The sequence below is a fragment of the Homo sapiens genome, chromosome 11 (genome assembly GCF_000001405.40).
Source record: "Homo sapiens chromosome 11, GRCh38.p14 Primary Assembly".
NCBI classification, from domain to species: domain Eukaryota; kingdom Metazoa; phylum Chordata; class Mammalia; order Primates; family Hominidae; genus Homo; species Homo sapiens.
This window is the reverse complement of record NC_000011.10, coordinates 64,438,265-64,453,140: the sequence shown is the minus strand read 5'-3', so window position 1 is coordinate 64,453,140 and position 14,876 is coordinate 64,438,265. Positions and strand designations below refer to the sequence as shown.

The following is a 14,876-nucleotide window of genomic DNA, read 5'->3' as shown; positions in this document are numbered from 1 at the left end:
GCCAGGAGTTTGAGACCAGCCTGGGCAACACAGCAAGACCCCATCTCTAAAAATTTCTAAAATTAGGCTGTCGTGGTGGTGCACAACTATAGTCCAGCTATTCAGCAGGCTGAGACGGGAGGATCGCTTGAGCCCAGGAAGTCGAGGCTGCAGTAAGCCATGATCGTGCCACTGCACTCCATCCTGGAGTGTAGACAGAGTGAGACCCTGTCTCAAAAAACAAAAAATGGGTGGGGCAAGGAGAGAATTTGGACGCAGAGACAAGTAAGCACATGGGCAGAACATCACGGGAAGATGAAGGCAGAGGTCGGGGTGATGCATCTCTAAACCAGGGAGCGCCTAAGACTGCCAGGGAGCTAGAAGAGAGGCAGCGCAGACACCCCTCACGGCCCTCGGAGGGAGCCAGCCCTGCTGATGCCTCAATTTTGGACTTCCAGTCTCCAGAACTGTGGGAGACAATGCATTTTTTTTTTTTTTTTTGAGACAGAGCCTCGGTCTGTCGCCCAGGCTGGAGTGCAGTGGCACGATCTTGGCTCACCACAAGATCTGCCTTCCAGGTTCACACCATTCTCCTGCCTCAGCCTCCTGAGTAGCTGGTACTGCAGGCGCCCACCACCACGCCTGGCTAATTTTTTTTTTTTTTGTATTTTTAGTAGAGACGGGGTTTCACCGTGTTAGCCAGGATGGTCTCGATCTCCTGACCTTGTGATCCGCCCACCTTGGCCTCCCAAAGTGCTGGATTACAGGCGTGAGCCACCGTGCCTGGCCAGGACAATGCATTTCTATTGTTTAAGCCACCCAGTCTGGGGCAGGTTTTTACAGCAGCCCCAGGAAACCGATACAGTCCTGGGGGATGGTATGGCTGCGGGGTCCTTCCTCTTGGGACCTGCCCCTCTTCCACTGATGGATTCTGAGATTGAGAACAAGTTCAGATTTGGAAACAGCAGGGGATCATTCCTTTCTGTTGGGGCATCCGGCCTTGGACTTCTGCTCATCGATTCTTGGTTGCTTTTCATTCTATTTGTTGAACAAAATCCTTGCCGGCTGCCTAGACACCTTCCCCCTGGAAATGCTATGTCCTATGAGCCATCTCCATAGGCTGGGCAGGGCAGGCTCCCCCGCGGCTGTCCCAACCCTGCTGTCCATTCTGATCCTCTCACCCCCTTGCTTGTGACAGACAGTTAAGTGCTGCCCTTTGACCTGTGCTACTCGGGAATCCAGTTGTCCCTGTGGCTATGGGAGAGCTCAGATCCATGGCAGCCCACCCCTGCCAGGCCCGGGCAACCCTCACAGGGCTGCTCAGCAACGCCAATGTCTCCTCGACAGCTCAGGCCTTATCATTTGGGTAAAGAGCTGGAACCTTCCAAAGAACATGGCCAGCTGGTGGGTTTTCCACCCTGTTTCGTGGTGAACAGGTCTGTGCAAATCTACCTGCAAAGGCCGAGGGAGCTGAGAGGCTGAAGAAAGAGGCTGACAAATCCAGTTTCTTGTAAAGAAATATTTAATAGGGACTTAGGAGCAGAAGCGATGTTCCGGGCTGCCACAAAATGGTAGATCCCCACATCTGCCCTGCAGAAAGTACTTTTATGTAGCAAGCTTTTAGGGTAAAACATGTGCAGGTGGCCATATCTCCGATTTTAATGCAAAACTCATAGCCACTTGGGGAGGGGGTTAGCTAAGCATCTTTACAAAGGGTTATGTATGGTACAGGCATTGTTTAAAGAGCTTACTGCAGAGCAGCTTGGTATATGGGGGTGAAACATTCATCATCATATGGCGGTTTTAAGATGGCATCACTCTTGTCACACTGTTTTCCTGTACAACCTACAATAGAAGAGCCATTCTGGCGTGTCCACTTCTCTGAGACTTTGCATACCTTCCTCCAGGGCTGTTCTGACATCTCCACTTCATCGCCTATGCACTATCACTTCTTCCAAGCTTTCAAGAACTGCCTCAAGTGCTGGGCACTGTGGCTCACACCTGTAATCCCAGCACTTTGGGAGGCCAAGGTGGACAGATCACTTGAGGTCAAGAGTTCGAGACCAGCCTGGCCAACATGGCAAAATCCCATCTCCACTAAAAAAAAAAAAAACAATACATTATCTGGGCATGGTGGTGCATGCCTGTAATCCCAGGTACTCGGGAGGCTGAGACAGGAGGATCGCTTGAACCTGGGAAGTGGAGGTTGCAGAGCCAAGATCGCACCACTGTACTCCAGCCTGGGCGACAGAGAGAAATTCTGTCTCAAAAAAAAAGAACCCTCCCAAGCAACATATTAGAATCTTCCCAGGGCCTTTTTAGGGGTTAGGGAGTCTTTCTGTACTAATTAACTCTCCAGTCTCCAGCTACTATGCAGCCTCCCTTGATCTAGAACCTTCAGAGTCCACATCTAGGAACATTCTCTAGACCCGGCTGGTCCCTGCTGGCTTGCTCCCACCACTCCTCTGCTTGTTAATCCCTCTTGGTCCCTGGCATGCAAAGCACATCCTTGGTCAGGTCATGCTGAGATATGATCCAGCTTTGAGCCTGGTGGTCAGGAGGGGAGGTGGGGACAGATGCTGGAGAGAGGAACTCCTTATCTTGTAAGGTCCCTTCCCTTAGTTTCTGCATGGTCTTTAAGCAAAAGAGGACCTCTGTCTTCCAACAGAGGCAATGGGTCACTTCTGCAGGCCAGGAGGTACAGGAGAATCTGGGGGTTCAATGTCTCAAGAGTGTCTCCTCAGATAGTCCATCTCAGATATCAGGGACCCCACCCTTCCCTTTGGGGCCCTGACTTTGGAGAAGGGACTTCCCTGGGCTGGAAATTTGGCCTTCTCTGGAGTCCTGCACCTTGTCTTCTGCCCTCTGACCCCTGGCTATAGAAGAGAAGCATTTCGTTAAATTCTGCCAAGGAATCCTGACTTTGCTTTAAATTGGTGATGCGTGGCCCTGAACTTGTCATTTTCCCTCTTCTAAGTGTCAGTAGTATTCAGTGACAGCCTCCCCACTCCACGTCCTTCTCACGGCTATTTTCCCATCTGTCTCTCAACATCAGTGATATTAAACGAGCCGGGCATCCCCGTCCACCTGAGTCCTGTCCCAGGTGACCACAGGCGGAGGCCTGAGCAGCTGCTCTGCCACCTCGTGCCAGGGGCCTCCGCAACGGGCTCCAGTCACCAGGGGCCAGCGGGGCATCCTCCTGCAGCATCCCGTCCTTGGGGCCAGCTTCCTGGGGCCCCTCCTGCTGTTCCCTGCCTTCAGCTGTCTGAAAACAGAGCCCAAGACAGGGATTTACTAGGGGAGGGCTCATCCTGGGACAAGCCGCCCAGGATGTGAGGGCAGAGGGGCGGGGAAGGAGAAAGGACTCGGTAAAGGCGTGGTCCCAGGGTAAATACAGCTCTGGCAGATATGCAGGGGGCCCTGGGGCAGAGGTATCGCCATCTAGAGGCAGGCGAGGGAACAGTCTTTTGTACAGTTAGCCGTGGGCTGTGGGCGTCGCCTGAACGTACCAGGTATTGTGGCTCCATTGGCTGAGGATGCTTCTCCAGCGAAGGAGGCAGGGAGCCGGGGAAGTGGGGTGGGGTCGCGACACCGACAGCAGCTGCCAGACCAGCCATGCTGCGCTCAGCTCCCTCAGGCTGTCACTCTTAATCATCATGTCACTATCTCTGGGGCGTGTCAGTCACCATCAACGACGTGTCCCCCAAGCTGCAGAGGACGCAAATCCAGCTCTCCAAGAGGCTCTGTTGGCCCTCTCCACATGGGCTTGAGGTCAGGGGTGGGGGCACGTTCGGACCGCCCTCCTGCCTCTCTGAAGAAGATCCTCCAAGTCCCGGCTCCAGCTCTCCGGCCTCTTTGGCAGCTGGGCGGGTGGCCATCCAGGAGGCCCGTTCTCCATGCCCAGTTTGGCAAGGCTCCTTGGGACGCCGGGCTCGCTGCCCCTGTTTTCTTAAAGCTTCGGCCCAAAGGGACCCAGAGTCTGAGGTTAACACTCCGTCATCCCAGCGTGAGCGGCGCCTGACTCCAGCTCTCGACTCCCCCACCTCCTATCCCCTGCGCCGGGCTCACCCTGCACTCCCACCTGCAAATCAGCAGAGCAGAGGCCAGCGCTCCCGACGTCCAGCACCACCCCAAGCGAGGCAGGGGGAGCTGAGTGGCCGGGAGCGCCATCTAGTGGGTGCCAGGGGCGAGTCCCCGAAAGAGACTGGAGAGCCACGACTCGGGCAGGGCAGGATGGTGTCCCAGGGAGGGCCGGGGCCCAGGCGCTGGACAGCAGAGGACATAAAGGGAGAGGCATGGGAGAGCGAGGAGCCAGGGTGCTTCCGGGGCGCATGAGCCCCACCCCAGCCTGCCCCTGCCCTCGTAACCAGATGACTCGGCTCAGGCAGGACACACCACGTCCAGTCTCTGTCCCCTCTCCAGACTCTTGGGAAAGTGTCACTTAAAATCCATTTGGGTCTGGTGTTTGCTTTATTCCAAGGAAAGGGGTAAGGAAAAATTCAGAAAAGGGGCGAGGGTCTCCCCTCTCCACAGTGGCAGTCAGGGGAATAGTGACATTCACCCCCTCCCCCAACCTGGTCTTGAACGTGGCAGGGAAGAGAACTGAGCCACCTGTCACCCAGAGGGGGAGGGGGAAGGTCAGAACTCCAGCCTTCCCACAGCAGACACGCCTGCGGGGCAGGAAGCAGGCAGGCTCCACGCAGTGTAGACATGTGCACTCACACGGATGTTAACAGTCTGGAAGAAACTGACCTGGCTGTGAATAGAGGCTCTCTCATGGGGAAGGGGCAGAAGATGGAGCTTTCACTTCTCCATTTATACACTTCTCCAAAATGTGGTGGGACCATGAGGAAACTGCACTTTCAGTTTTGATCTCTTTTTGTATTTTTTCAGTTAAAATGCAATTGGGAACAATGGGGTGTTAAGTGCCTCAGTGTGGAAGGCTGCGGCATCACCATTGAAATGCTGTATCAGACCTGGATTGGATCCACCCTCGACTCAGGGCTGTGCAAACTGGGACCCAGATCCCGCGCTGTGGGAACGGAGCCCTGCTCCGCTGTTTACATGTTGTCTCTGGCTGCGGCCTCGCTGTGACAGCAGAGTTGAGGAATTGCCACAGAGACTGTTATAGCCCACAAAGCCCAAAATATTTACTCGCTGGCTCTTTATGGAAAAAGTTTGCCAACTATCAAATTACAAGAAATACAGGGACTGGGGAGCCTGCTCAACAAAGCTAAGGGGACGTGACCAGCAAAATCCAGACTGCAGGCAACCATAGGACAAAGCGCCAGTTTCTTCAATACGTAATTTGCAACAGCAACCTGCTTACTAGAGGCCAGGAAGGGGAGGGGGAAAGGAGGGGATGAAGAAAGGTTGATGAGTGGGTACAAATACACACTTACATAGACGAAATAACATCTGGTGTTCAATAGATCAGTAGGGTGACATTAATCGATTGTACACTTCAAAATTGCTAGAAAAGAATAATCCTAATGTTCCTGGCACAAGGAAAAGATAAATATTTAAGATGATGGACATCCCAATTACCCTGATTTGATTATAGGAATGTATCCAATTATCATGCACATCCCGAAACTAGATACAGCTAGTGTATTTCAACTTTTATAAAGAAAAGAAAAAAACGGGCGGGGTGCAGTGGCTCGCGCCTGTAATCCCAGCATTTTGGGAGGCTGAGGTGGGCAGATCACTTGAGGTCAGGAGTTCCAGACCTGCCTGGCCAACATGGTGAAACCCCTTCTGTACTAAAAATACAAAAATTAGCCAGATGTGGTGGTGTGCACCTGTAATCCCAGCTGCTCCGGAGGCTGAGGCAGGAGAATCGCTTGAACCCGGGAGGCAGAGGTTGCAGTGAGCAAGACTCCATCTGAAAAGAAAAGAAAAGAAATGAAAAGAAAAGACAGAGGGGGCCCATAGATTTAAAAGAGGCTGAGCAGTGACAGATAATAGAAGTGTGGATGGTAAGAAAATAAAGTCTCATTTTTCATGGTAGCAAGTGAGATCTCAAATCCGAGATCAGAAAGTGAAGAAAATCAGGAATTAAGAGTAGAAGCCATTTCACTTAGAAATGAAGGTTTAAGAAAAAGATGAGGCCGGGCGCAGTGGCTCACGCCTGTTATCCCAGCACTTTGGGAGGCCGGGGCAGGTGGATCACCTGAGGTTGGGAATTCAAGACCAGTCTGACCAACATGGTGAAATTCCATCTCTACTAAAAATACAAAAATTAGCCGGGCGTGGTGGTGTATGCCTGTAGTCCCAGCTACTCAGGAGGCTGAGGCAGGAGAATCACCTGAACTCGGCAGGCGGAGGTTGCAGTGAGCCAAGATCGCACCATTGCACTCCATCCTGGGCAACAAAAGCAAAACTCCATCTCGAAAAAAAAAAGAAGAAAGAAAGAAAAAGATGAAACATCTACTCAAAAACTGAAAGTGGGTGCCCCTAATGAGGGAGTTTTGGGAATCAGAGAAATGGAGCAGAGAACTCTTTTTTATTTATATAATTTTAAGCCTAGTAGTAGTGTTTGAATTTTTTAATTTTGTATACGTTTAAACAAAATATTTAAATATTAATATTTGAATCCAATAACAACTTAAGTTTTTTAACTTAATTAAATATATTTATAATCTTGGATTAAGGAAAGCCTTTTTAAACATGACCTGAGGCTGGGTACTTTGGAAGGCCAAGGTGGGCGGATCACTTGAGGTCATAAGTCGAGACCAGCCTGGCCAACCAACGTGGTGAAACCCCATCTCTATTAAAAATACAAAAATTAGCCAGATGTAGTGGTGGTCGTCTGTAATCCCACCTACTCAGGAGGCTGAGGCAGGAGAATCACTTCAACCCAGGAGGCAGTGAGCTGTGATTGTACCACTGCACTCCAGCCTAGGCGAAAAAGCAAGACTCTGTCTCAAAATAAATAAATAAATAAAAATAAATAAATAAACCTGACCTGAAAACCAGAAACTAAATGGTTGATCTATGCGGCTGCATGAGAATCTCAAACTTCTCTCTGAGAAAGCTATTATATATTATATATATAATATATATAACTATACAACTATACACACACACACACACACACACACACACACATATATATATATGTATGGTTGAAAGACTACTGACAACTGGAAAAAAGATTTGTAACAGATAATACAGATGGAGGGTTAATATGATAGTTTTTTCTCGCAAGCAACAGAAACTGACCTTAGCTGATTTAAGCAGAAAAGGGATGAGTATCAAGTACCACCACAGACTTTCTGGGTGGGCTGGAGAACCAGGCTTGCAGGCCTCCCAGACAGGAACAGAAACTGTGCTCCAGCTGGTCAAGTAAAGACACCATGGCTACCTTTTTACTGGGTCCTGCGCACTGCCACGGATCAGCTGCCATTGCTTTCACTCTCTCTGGAATCAAGTCTGCACGGCTTCTGCTACCTCTGGCCATTAGCTTTTAATCCCATTCCTGAGGCAAGAGCCTCTGAATGACAGATCCTCAATCATAAGCCTGCAGCCTGCAAGGGAGGCTGGGAAAGTGGGCCCCTGGCGTCTTCTGCTTCCATAGCAGAAGTCAATGGATACCCCAAACATGGCAGACAAACAGGCAAAGGACATGAAGAGGCAATTGACAAAACAAGTGTGGAATTAGCCAATAATATATAAAAAGCTGTTCAGCCTCACTAATATGGCAGCTGCTTGTGGTTGCTTACCCGGAATCAGTTCCCACCTTCTTCCTGCTGGCAAACCTTGATATGGTTTGGATACCAATCCCACCCACCAGTGACTCAGTGGGGAGCATGCACCCAGTTGCCATCAATGAGCTGGCTAGGCAGGTCTGCCAGGGGGCTTCCAGGAAAGACTTCTGTATTAGTCAGCATAGGTTAGCTGCCGTAACAAGCATGCTCCAAACCTGTAGTTTAACACAAGTTTATCTCTTGCTCATGCAAGTTGAATATGAATGTCCTTGGTTGGGTGCTTCTCCCATGCAGTTCTCTGGCATTGCAGTGACTTTGAAACCTGAGATCCCTCCATCGTGGAGCCCTGCCATCCTCAACATGTGGCCTTCCAGATCACAGCACATAGGAATGCCACGGAAGGAGCACATGTTCCTTCTGCCCACATTTGATTGGCTAGAACAGGTCACATGGCCACAGGGACCTAGCCAGCTGCAGGAGAAGCTGGGAACTGTAGTTTGTGTGTCAGGAAGAAAATGAACCAGATTTAGCCAGGCAAGGTGGCTCACACCTGTAATCCCAACATTGTGGGTGACTGAGACAGGAGGATCACTTGAACCCAGGGGTTCAAGACCAGCTTGGGAAACACAGCAAGACCCCATCTCTATTAAAAAAAAAAATCAAAAGATTAGCCAGGCATGATGGAGTGCACCTGTAGTCCCAGCCACTCAGGTGGCAGAGGCAGCATCCAGCTTCATCTGCTGGGTTAAGCCATGCAGTCCTGGAGCCCACGGTTGTGGCAGCTGCATTCTGACCCCTGCGTCCAGCAGGGATGGTGTGGCCCTGGGCCAGCCTCTGGGACGGTGGTGGGCTGAGTCCCCAGGTTCCCGGCTGTGCCAGAAATAGCGATTCCCTTTCAAGCCCAGCTGAGGTGGGAGGATGGCTTGAGCCCAGGAGGTCGAGGCCGTAGTGAACCAAGATCATGCCACTGCACTCCAGCCTAGGCGACAGAGTGAGACCCTATCTCAAAAAAAACAAAAACAAGAGAAGAAAGAGAAGAAAGGAAGGAAGGAAGGAAGGAAGGAAGGAAGGAAGGAAGGAAGGAAGGAAGGAAGGAAGAGAGGGAGTGAGGAAGGAAGGGAGGGAGGGAGGAAGGGAGCAAAGAAGGAAGGAAGGAAGGAAGGAAAGAAAGAAAGAAAGAAAGAAAGAAAAGAAAAGAAAGAAAGAAAGAAAAAGAAAGAGAAAGAAAGAAAAAGAAAGAGAAAGAAAGAAAGAAAGAAAGAAAGAAAGAAAGAAAGAAAGAAAGAAAGAAAGAAAGAAAGAAAATGGGTCAGGTTTAGTGGACACTGAGCGCTGTCCACAGTTCCCCTCTGGTAAGCACATATCCATTTGGCTCTTCCTCCCACATAAAGGACCCACTCCTTGACTGGGGCCTGATCTTCCTCTCTAAGCAGAACTTTTCTTCGCTCTCTGCGCCCCACTGGCTCTTTCTGCATCAACCAACTAGGCCACATCTGATACGGGCATTGGGGTCATGGCTTCTTTGGGGTCCGTATAGCTTTTGCCACTGGACTTCTGCTCCTACAGCCAAGACCTGAGAGTACAAACGGTCCTCCCAAGGCACATCTCGGTGAAGGGTCCCAGTGTGGCCAAGTGGGTCGCCCCCTGCCCATGTCTTCTACTCCCTGTAGGTTTGAGCCAGCTGTGAGGCTTCTGTCACTCCACCTGCAGAGATGCCAAGGAAATCGTTGCTTTCGGCAGGTGGCAAAGGAACCACCTGGCCGGACCAGGGCCTCCTCTGCACACAACACACAGCAAGGCTCCTGAGAGCTCAGCACACACACGATTTCCAGAATTAAAAAATCAATCCAGGACATGAAGGGAGGAAAGATCCGCTAGAAAACAAAAGCTGCATTCTGGCAGATCAGATGGAAGAGCTCGCCCATGACGTCGGACACAAACACAGAGAAACGAAGGCAAGAATCAAAAGGTAAGAGGCTGAAGAATCAGATCTAGGACCCTAAATTGTAAGGAATAGCATTTCTAAAAGAAGAGAAAGGAACAAAAGGAGATATAGTAATTTAAGAAATAATAGAGTAGAAGAGAGACGTGAATCTTGTGACCTGAAAGGACTCTAGGCAGCCGTGATGAATAAAAAATACACACCTGGTGAGACGTCTGAGCTCCAGGATAAAGAGAAGTCTTTGGAGCTTCCAGCCAGAAAGGGCCCTGCGACAACAGACAGGCAGACTTCTCATTTGCATCCCTGGAAGTGAGAAGGGAGAGAACCAATCTGCCAACTAGTGAGAAAAGGCAGCAGACCAGGAAAAGAAACCAAGGGAAGCAGACCAGAAAACCCTCTAACAAGTTGAAAATCAAATTGGAACAAAAGTCTCAAAAGAGTGGAAGACAGAACACAGGAAATAGCAGCCAGCGCCAAAGTGTGTTTGATTACATTTCAATGGATGACAATATGCCCGAGAAATATCATGTAATTAAAGGAGGGATGATTGAAAGGCGGGAAACATACTATAAGACAAAATGTATGGCCAGGTGTGGTGGTTCACGCCTGTAATTCCAACACTCTGGGAGGCCGAGGTGGGAGGATCACCTGAGGTCAGGAGTTCAAGACTAGCCCGGCCAACATGGTGAAACCCCATCTCTACCAAAAATACAAAAATTAGCCGGGCGTGGTGGCAGACACCTGTAATCCCAGCTACTCAGGAGGCTGAGGCAGGAGAATCTCTTGAACCCGGGAGGTGGAGGTGGCAGTGAGCTGAGATTGCACCACTGCACTCCAGCCTGGGCGACAGAGCAAGACTCCATCTGAAAAAACAAAAAGAAGAGAAAATATAATAATAAATGGGCTGAGACTGGAACTAAACATTCTCAGTGCATCTGCAAAACTCAGACGTCGAGTTGGGGGCAGCAGTAAGGGAGCGAGGGAAGGGAAGTAAAAGTTCTAGGCTTCTCTTTTGAGGTAGTGTAGGCAGAGCGGCCAAGTGAAACCTTAGGGGGTTGGGTAGTTTTCATAGTTAACTTGGATTAGTAAGAGAGAATTCGAGGTTTAAACAAGGTTATTTAAAAGATGCAAATGTGGAGGATGGTGAGGATCCAAGGTCCCAGGGCAGAGGCAGCATCCAGCTTCATCTGCTGGGTTAAGCCACGCAGTCCTGGAGCCCACGGTTGTGGCAGCTGCGTTCTGACCCCTGCGTCCAGCAGGGATGGTGTGGTCCTTGGCCAGCCTCTGGGACAGTGGTGGGCTGAGTCCCCAGGTTCCCAGCTGTGCCAGAAATAGCAATTCCCTTTCAGGCCAGTTCTGAGGTGGCAGTCAGTCACTCCTGAAAGCTCATCGCCAAACCTCCTCCTCCAGTTGTTCTAAGCATCGTGTAAGCACCCAGTTCCTTGGATGACTCTCTCGCTGCTTCAACTGGGTGATTTCTGTTACAAATAGTAACCATAAAATAAGATGAAAAGGATAAAAACAAATATATCAATTGTCACAATAAATGTGAATGTACTAAATTCCCCTTTTAACTTGGAAGTTCAAATTGGGGAAGAAAGAAGGAAGGAAAGAAAGAGAGGGAAGGAGAGAAGAAGGAAGGGAGGGAGGGAAGGAGGGAAGAAGAGAGGGAGGGAGGGACGGATCGAAAAAATCTCATTATATACCACTACTTTGGGAAACCATTTTCTCTCTCTATCTACTAAAGCTAGACATACGTCCACCCTATGATCCAGCATTTCCACTCCTAGGCAAATATCCAAGAGAAATGAGTGCGTATTTCCCACCAAAAGACATGTGCAAGAATGTTCATAGCAGTGTTACTTAATATAGCCCCAAACTAGAAACCACCCAAATGTCCATCAATGGTAGAATGGATACATAATGATATATTCATGCAATGGACTACTACAGAACCAGGAAAAAAGAGCAAACTGCTGCTACACGCAGTAATACGGAGGATTCTCACTAACAGTAGAAGAAAACAGGCAGACACGAAAGAGCATATCCTGTGGGATTCGGTGGTGATGAAGTTCCAGAACAGACAGTAGAACACACAATGGCAACAGAAGTCAGAATGGAGCTTCCCTCCGGGAGGGGCATGAGGGGCCTCCCCGGGGATGAGGCACGTCCTAGGCCTTGATGCGGGTGTTGGCTGCATGGGCATGGGTGTGGTCACCCGCAATCAAGTTGTCCTATTAAGAGCAATGCATTTTGCACACTGTTGTACCTCAATAAACGTTTCATTCCAGTCATGCTATTTATAGAAAGATAAATCTAAAACAAAATGAAAGGAAATACTGAAAAGGAACTGACTTGCTGGGGAAAAAAAGAAACCCCCGAAGGAATACATTTCAAGACCGAATATAAACTCCTTTTGTTAACCTGCTCTTTTTCTGCTCTCTGTGGGAGTCAGCAGTGCTTCCTGGGGGCAAGAAAGGGACATCAAAGCCCCCCAGGCCTCCACCCCCAGCCTCCTCCCTGCCTCAACCCAGAGAAAATCTGCTTCCCTCACTCCTGGATAGAAGACAGTCTACATTCCTCCATCGAACACTGAGTAAGCACCTACTGCATGCACCACACTGCCCTGCTAGGCCCTTCTCCCCACTCCCTACCCCTATGCACAGAAATGCTGGCTCGAATTCTTGCTAATATGTCACTTGGGCTGCTGGAACCTCTCCCCCAGAGATGGCTCTCAACAGGGTCCCAGGCCATTCAGGAAGGGTCCTGTCCCCATGAGTCAGCCACTGCAAAAAGGCACTCACCTAAAACTGTTTCCGTCCCTGTGGGCTCGGCGGGGCGGGGCTGAAGTCCTAACTCACCACCTCCTACGGCGTCCACACCCTTGCTGTGGCCTTGTCATGGGCAATGGGTACTTCCCTGCTCCTTGACTTTGAGGTTGTCCATGGGATTTGCTTTGGCCAATGGCACATAAGCAAAAGTGACCACCTGCCAGGTGCCAAGAAGCCTTGTATGTTCTGCTCTGAAAGAAGCATGTCCCAGCTGAGCCACTCATGCAAGGAGGATGAGAGACTCGTGGAGCTGCACTGCCCCACTGAGCCACAGACCAGCAGGGAAAAGTGGAGCTGCCTGAGCTGCCCCAGCCAGAAGCCCGCACCAGCCAAGCTCCAACCAATCCACAAAATCATGAGAACAAATCACCATTGTTCTAAGCCACTGAGTTTGGGGACCATTTGTTACATGACACTATTGTCCAGTAGCTAACTGATACATCCCATCACCTGAGAAATGTGTGATCAGGACCACATGAGGGGCACAACACCATGACAACCATTCAGAGGAGGGGGAGATCAATGTGGAAGAATCAAGAAGCTTCCTGAGCCACACACAGTGGCTCACGCCTGTAATCCCAACACTTTGGGAAGCCAAGGCAGGCAGATCACTTGAGCCCAGGAGTTCAAGACCAGCCTGGGCAACATAGTGAGACCCCAACTTTACAAAAAAAAAAATACTAAAAATTAGCCAGGCATGGTGGTGCATGCCTATAGTCCCAGCTACTCAGGAGGCTGAGATGGGAGGATCGCTTGAGCCCAGGAGCTCGAGGCTACAGTGAGCCGAGATTGCACCATTGCACTCCAGCCTGGGCAACAGAGCAAGACCCCATCTCGAAAAATTTTTTTAAAATTTAAAACAGGAGGCCTCCTGTTGCATGTCAGGTGCTGTGTAAGAGGCTCGTGCTTATTTGCATCAGCATCCCTGTGGTTAAGTGCCACTGCACTGGCCCCACTGAGGCTCCTTATCCCTACACGGCAGCTGGAGCTCAGCCGTCCTCGCCCAGTACCCAGGCACTCTCCGTCCAGCTGACTGCACCCTGCCCCTCCCTCCTGGCCCAGGCCTCTCCTCTGCACACCTGCCTGGCCCTTTCCAGCACTGCAGTTTGAGACCCCTGCTCTTCAGGGTCCCCGAGTCTCCCCAGCTCTGCGGGGAGTGGCTGTCTGTCCCTTTCAGGGAGGACGGTTTTGGTGCTGGAGAATTCACAGCTTCCCAAGGCTGTCCACCCACATTCCAGAGAGACAGGATCACTGAAACCATGGAACAGGTGAAATTGCCGAGGAAGCCCCTGGAGGCAAAAGAGCCAAGGACAGAACCTACGGGGAGACATCAAGGGGAGGAAGTGAGCCCCAGCCCCCAGGAGAGAGAGAAAACGTCTCAGAGGCCATGAAGAGGCCGTTTCCAGATGCTGCCGAGGGAGCAGAAGAGGAGCCTCCCCCCAGCGCTGGGCAGCGAGAGGGCGACGTGACCTTTGAGAATTCTGCTTCCCCAGCACAACCGGGCGAGAAGCTGGCTCCAAAGGGCTTTCTTCAAAGACTAGTACAAGCCCCTGAGGGCTCCGCTGATTGGACACGTTTCCCAGCCTGGTCCAAGGCCGCTGATGGTGTGCGCCCTCCCAGACAATACCAAAAGCATGGTCTCCATTCTCTCCAGAAAAATTGGGCTAAAATTGTACTGTTTCCTCTTTTTTCCCCTAGGTCACTGTATTCTGCTTCACTCCACATTCTTCTGTACAAAAGAGACCAAAGCTTATGAATAGGGTTGGGAGATGTCCCAAGGAAAAAAAAATTCAAAGCGCTTTGGTTTCTCTAGCTGTGGAATGGTCGCCCCTGGCTACCTGGGTCCATCAGTTCTTTTCTGGGAAAGTCCCAGGGGAATTGGCCAAAATCCTGCTCAGACCCATCCAGTCCCACCTCTGCCCCAGATACCAGAGTCCCTGGGGCAGCGGGGACATCAGTGGACTCATATTGCCCAATCCAGCTACTGTGCAGAGCCAGATTTGTGTTCCAGAAGTTGTTAAAATATCCTCAGAAAACAACAAAGGTGGCCGGGGGCATGGTGGCTCACGCCTGTAATCCCAGCACTTTGGGAGGCCGAAAGGGTGGATCACTTGAGGCCAGGAGTTCCAGACCAGCCTGGCCAACATGGTGAAACCCCGTCTCTACTAAAAATACAAAAATTAGCTGGGCATGGTGGCACGTGCCTATAGTCCCAGCTACTTGGGAGACTGAGGCAAGAGAATTGCTTGAACCCAGGAGGCAGAGGTTGCAGTGAGCCTAGATCACACCACTGCACTCCAGCCTGGGTGACACAGTGAGACTCCCTCTCAAAAAAAAAAAAAAAAAAAAAAAGAAGAGGCTGGGTGTGGTGGCTCATGACTGTAATCCCAGCACTTTGGGAGGCCCAGGCAGGCA

The 14,876-nt window shown here is 50.5% G+C and overlaps 1 long non-coding RNA gene across 1 annotated transcript, besides 6 other annotated features; it reads right to left on the bottom strand.

Moving 5' to 3' along the window:
* Window positions 1-1,483: 1,483 nt before the first annotated feature.
* Window positions 1,484-4,084, bottom strand: LINC02724 (long intergenic non-protein coding RNA 2724). Its single transcript, NR_073177.1, has 2 exons — window positions 3,489-4,084; window positions 1,484-3,244 (listed from the first exon to the last, which is right to left on the bottom strand). It is a non-coding gene; the product is annotated as a long intergenic non-protein coding RNA 2724 (long non-coding RNA).
* Window positions 3,337-3,606: a transcriptional cis regulatory region, noted in NCBI's record as "silencer region targeted for CRISPR/Cas9 deletion". NCBI's record gives its function as "negatively regulates NRXN2 and RASGRP2 gene expression in K562 erythroleukemia cells {active_cell/tissue: K562}" and the evidence as "EXISTENCE:knockout evidence [ECO:0001091][PMID:32094911]".
* Window positions 3,337-3,745: a biological region, named in NCBI's record as "ReSE screen-validated silencer GRCh37_chr11:64217054-64217249". NCBI's record gives its function as "regulatory_interactions: NRXN2 | RASGRP2".
* Window positions 3,364-3,559: a silencer, noted in NCBI's record as "fragment chr11:64217054-64217249 (GRCh37/hg19 assembly coordinates)". NCBI's record gives its function as "represses an EF-1alpha promoter that drives an FKBP-Casp9 reporter gene in an ReSE screen in K562 erythroleukemia cells {active_cell/tissue: K562}" and the evidence as "EXISTENCE:reporter gene assay evidence [ECO:0000049][PMID:32094911]".
* Window positions 3,496-3,745: an enhancer, noted in NCBI's record as "active region_4904". NCBI's record gives its function as "activates an Ori minimal core promoter by ATAC-STARR-seq in GM12878 lymphoblastoid cells {active_cell/tissue: GM12878}" and the evidence as "EXISTENCE:reporter gene assay evidence [ECO:0000049][PMID:35858748]".
* Window positions 12,070-12,600: an enhancer, noted in NCBI's record as "H3K4me1 hESC enhancer chr11:64208013-64208543 (GRCh37/hg19 assembly coordinates)". NCBI's record gives its function as "activates a minimal SCP1, AML or CMV promoter by ChIP-STARR-seq in naive H9 embryonic stem cells {active_cell/tissue: H9 hESC(naive)}" and the evidence as "EXISTENCE:reporter gene assay evidence [ECO:0000049][PMID:30033119]".
* Window positions 13,133-13,664: an enhancer, noted in NCBI's record as "H3K4me1 hESC enhancer chr11:64206949-64207480 (GRCh37/hg19 assembly coordinates)". NCBI's record gives its function as "activates a minimal SCP1, AML or CMV promoter by ChIP-STARR-seq in naive H9 embryonic stem cells {active_cell/tissue: H9 hESC(naive)}" and the evidence as "EXISTENCE:reporter gene assay evidence [ECO:0000049][PMID:30033119]".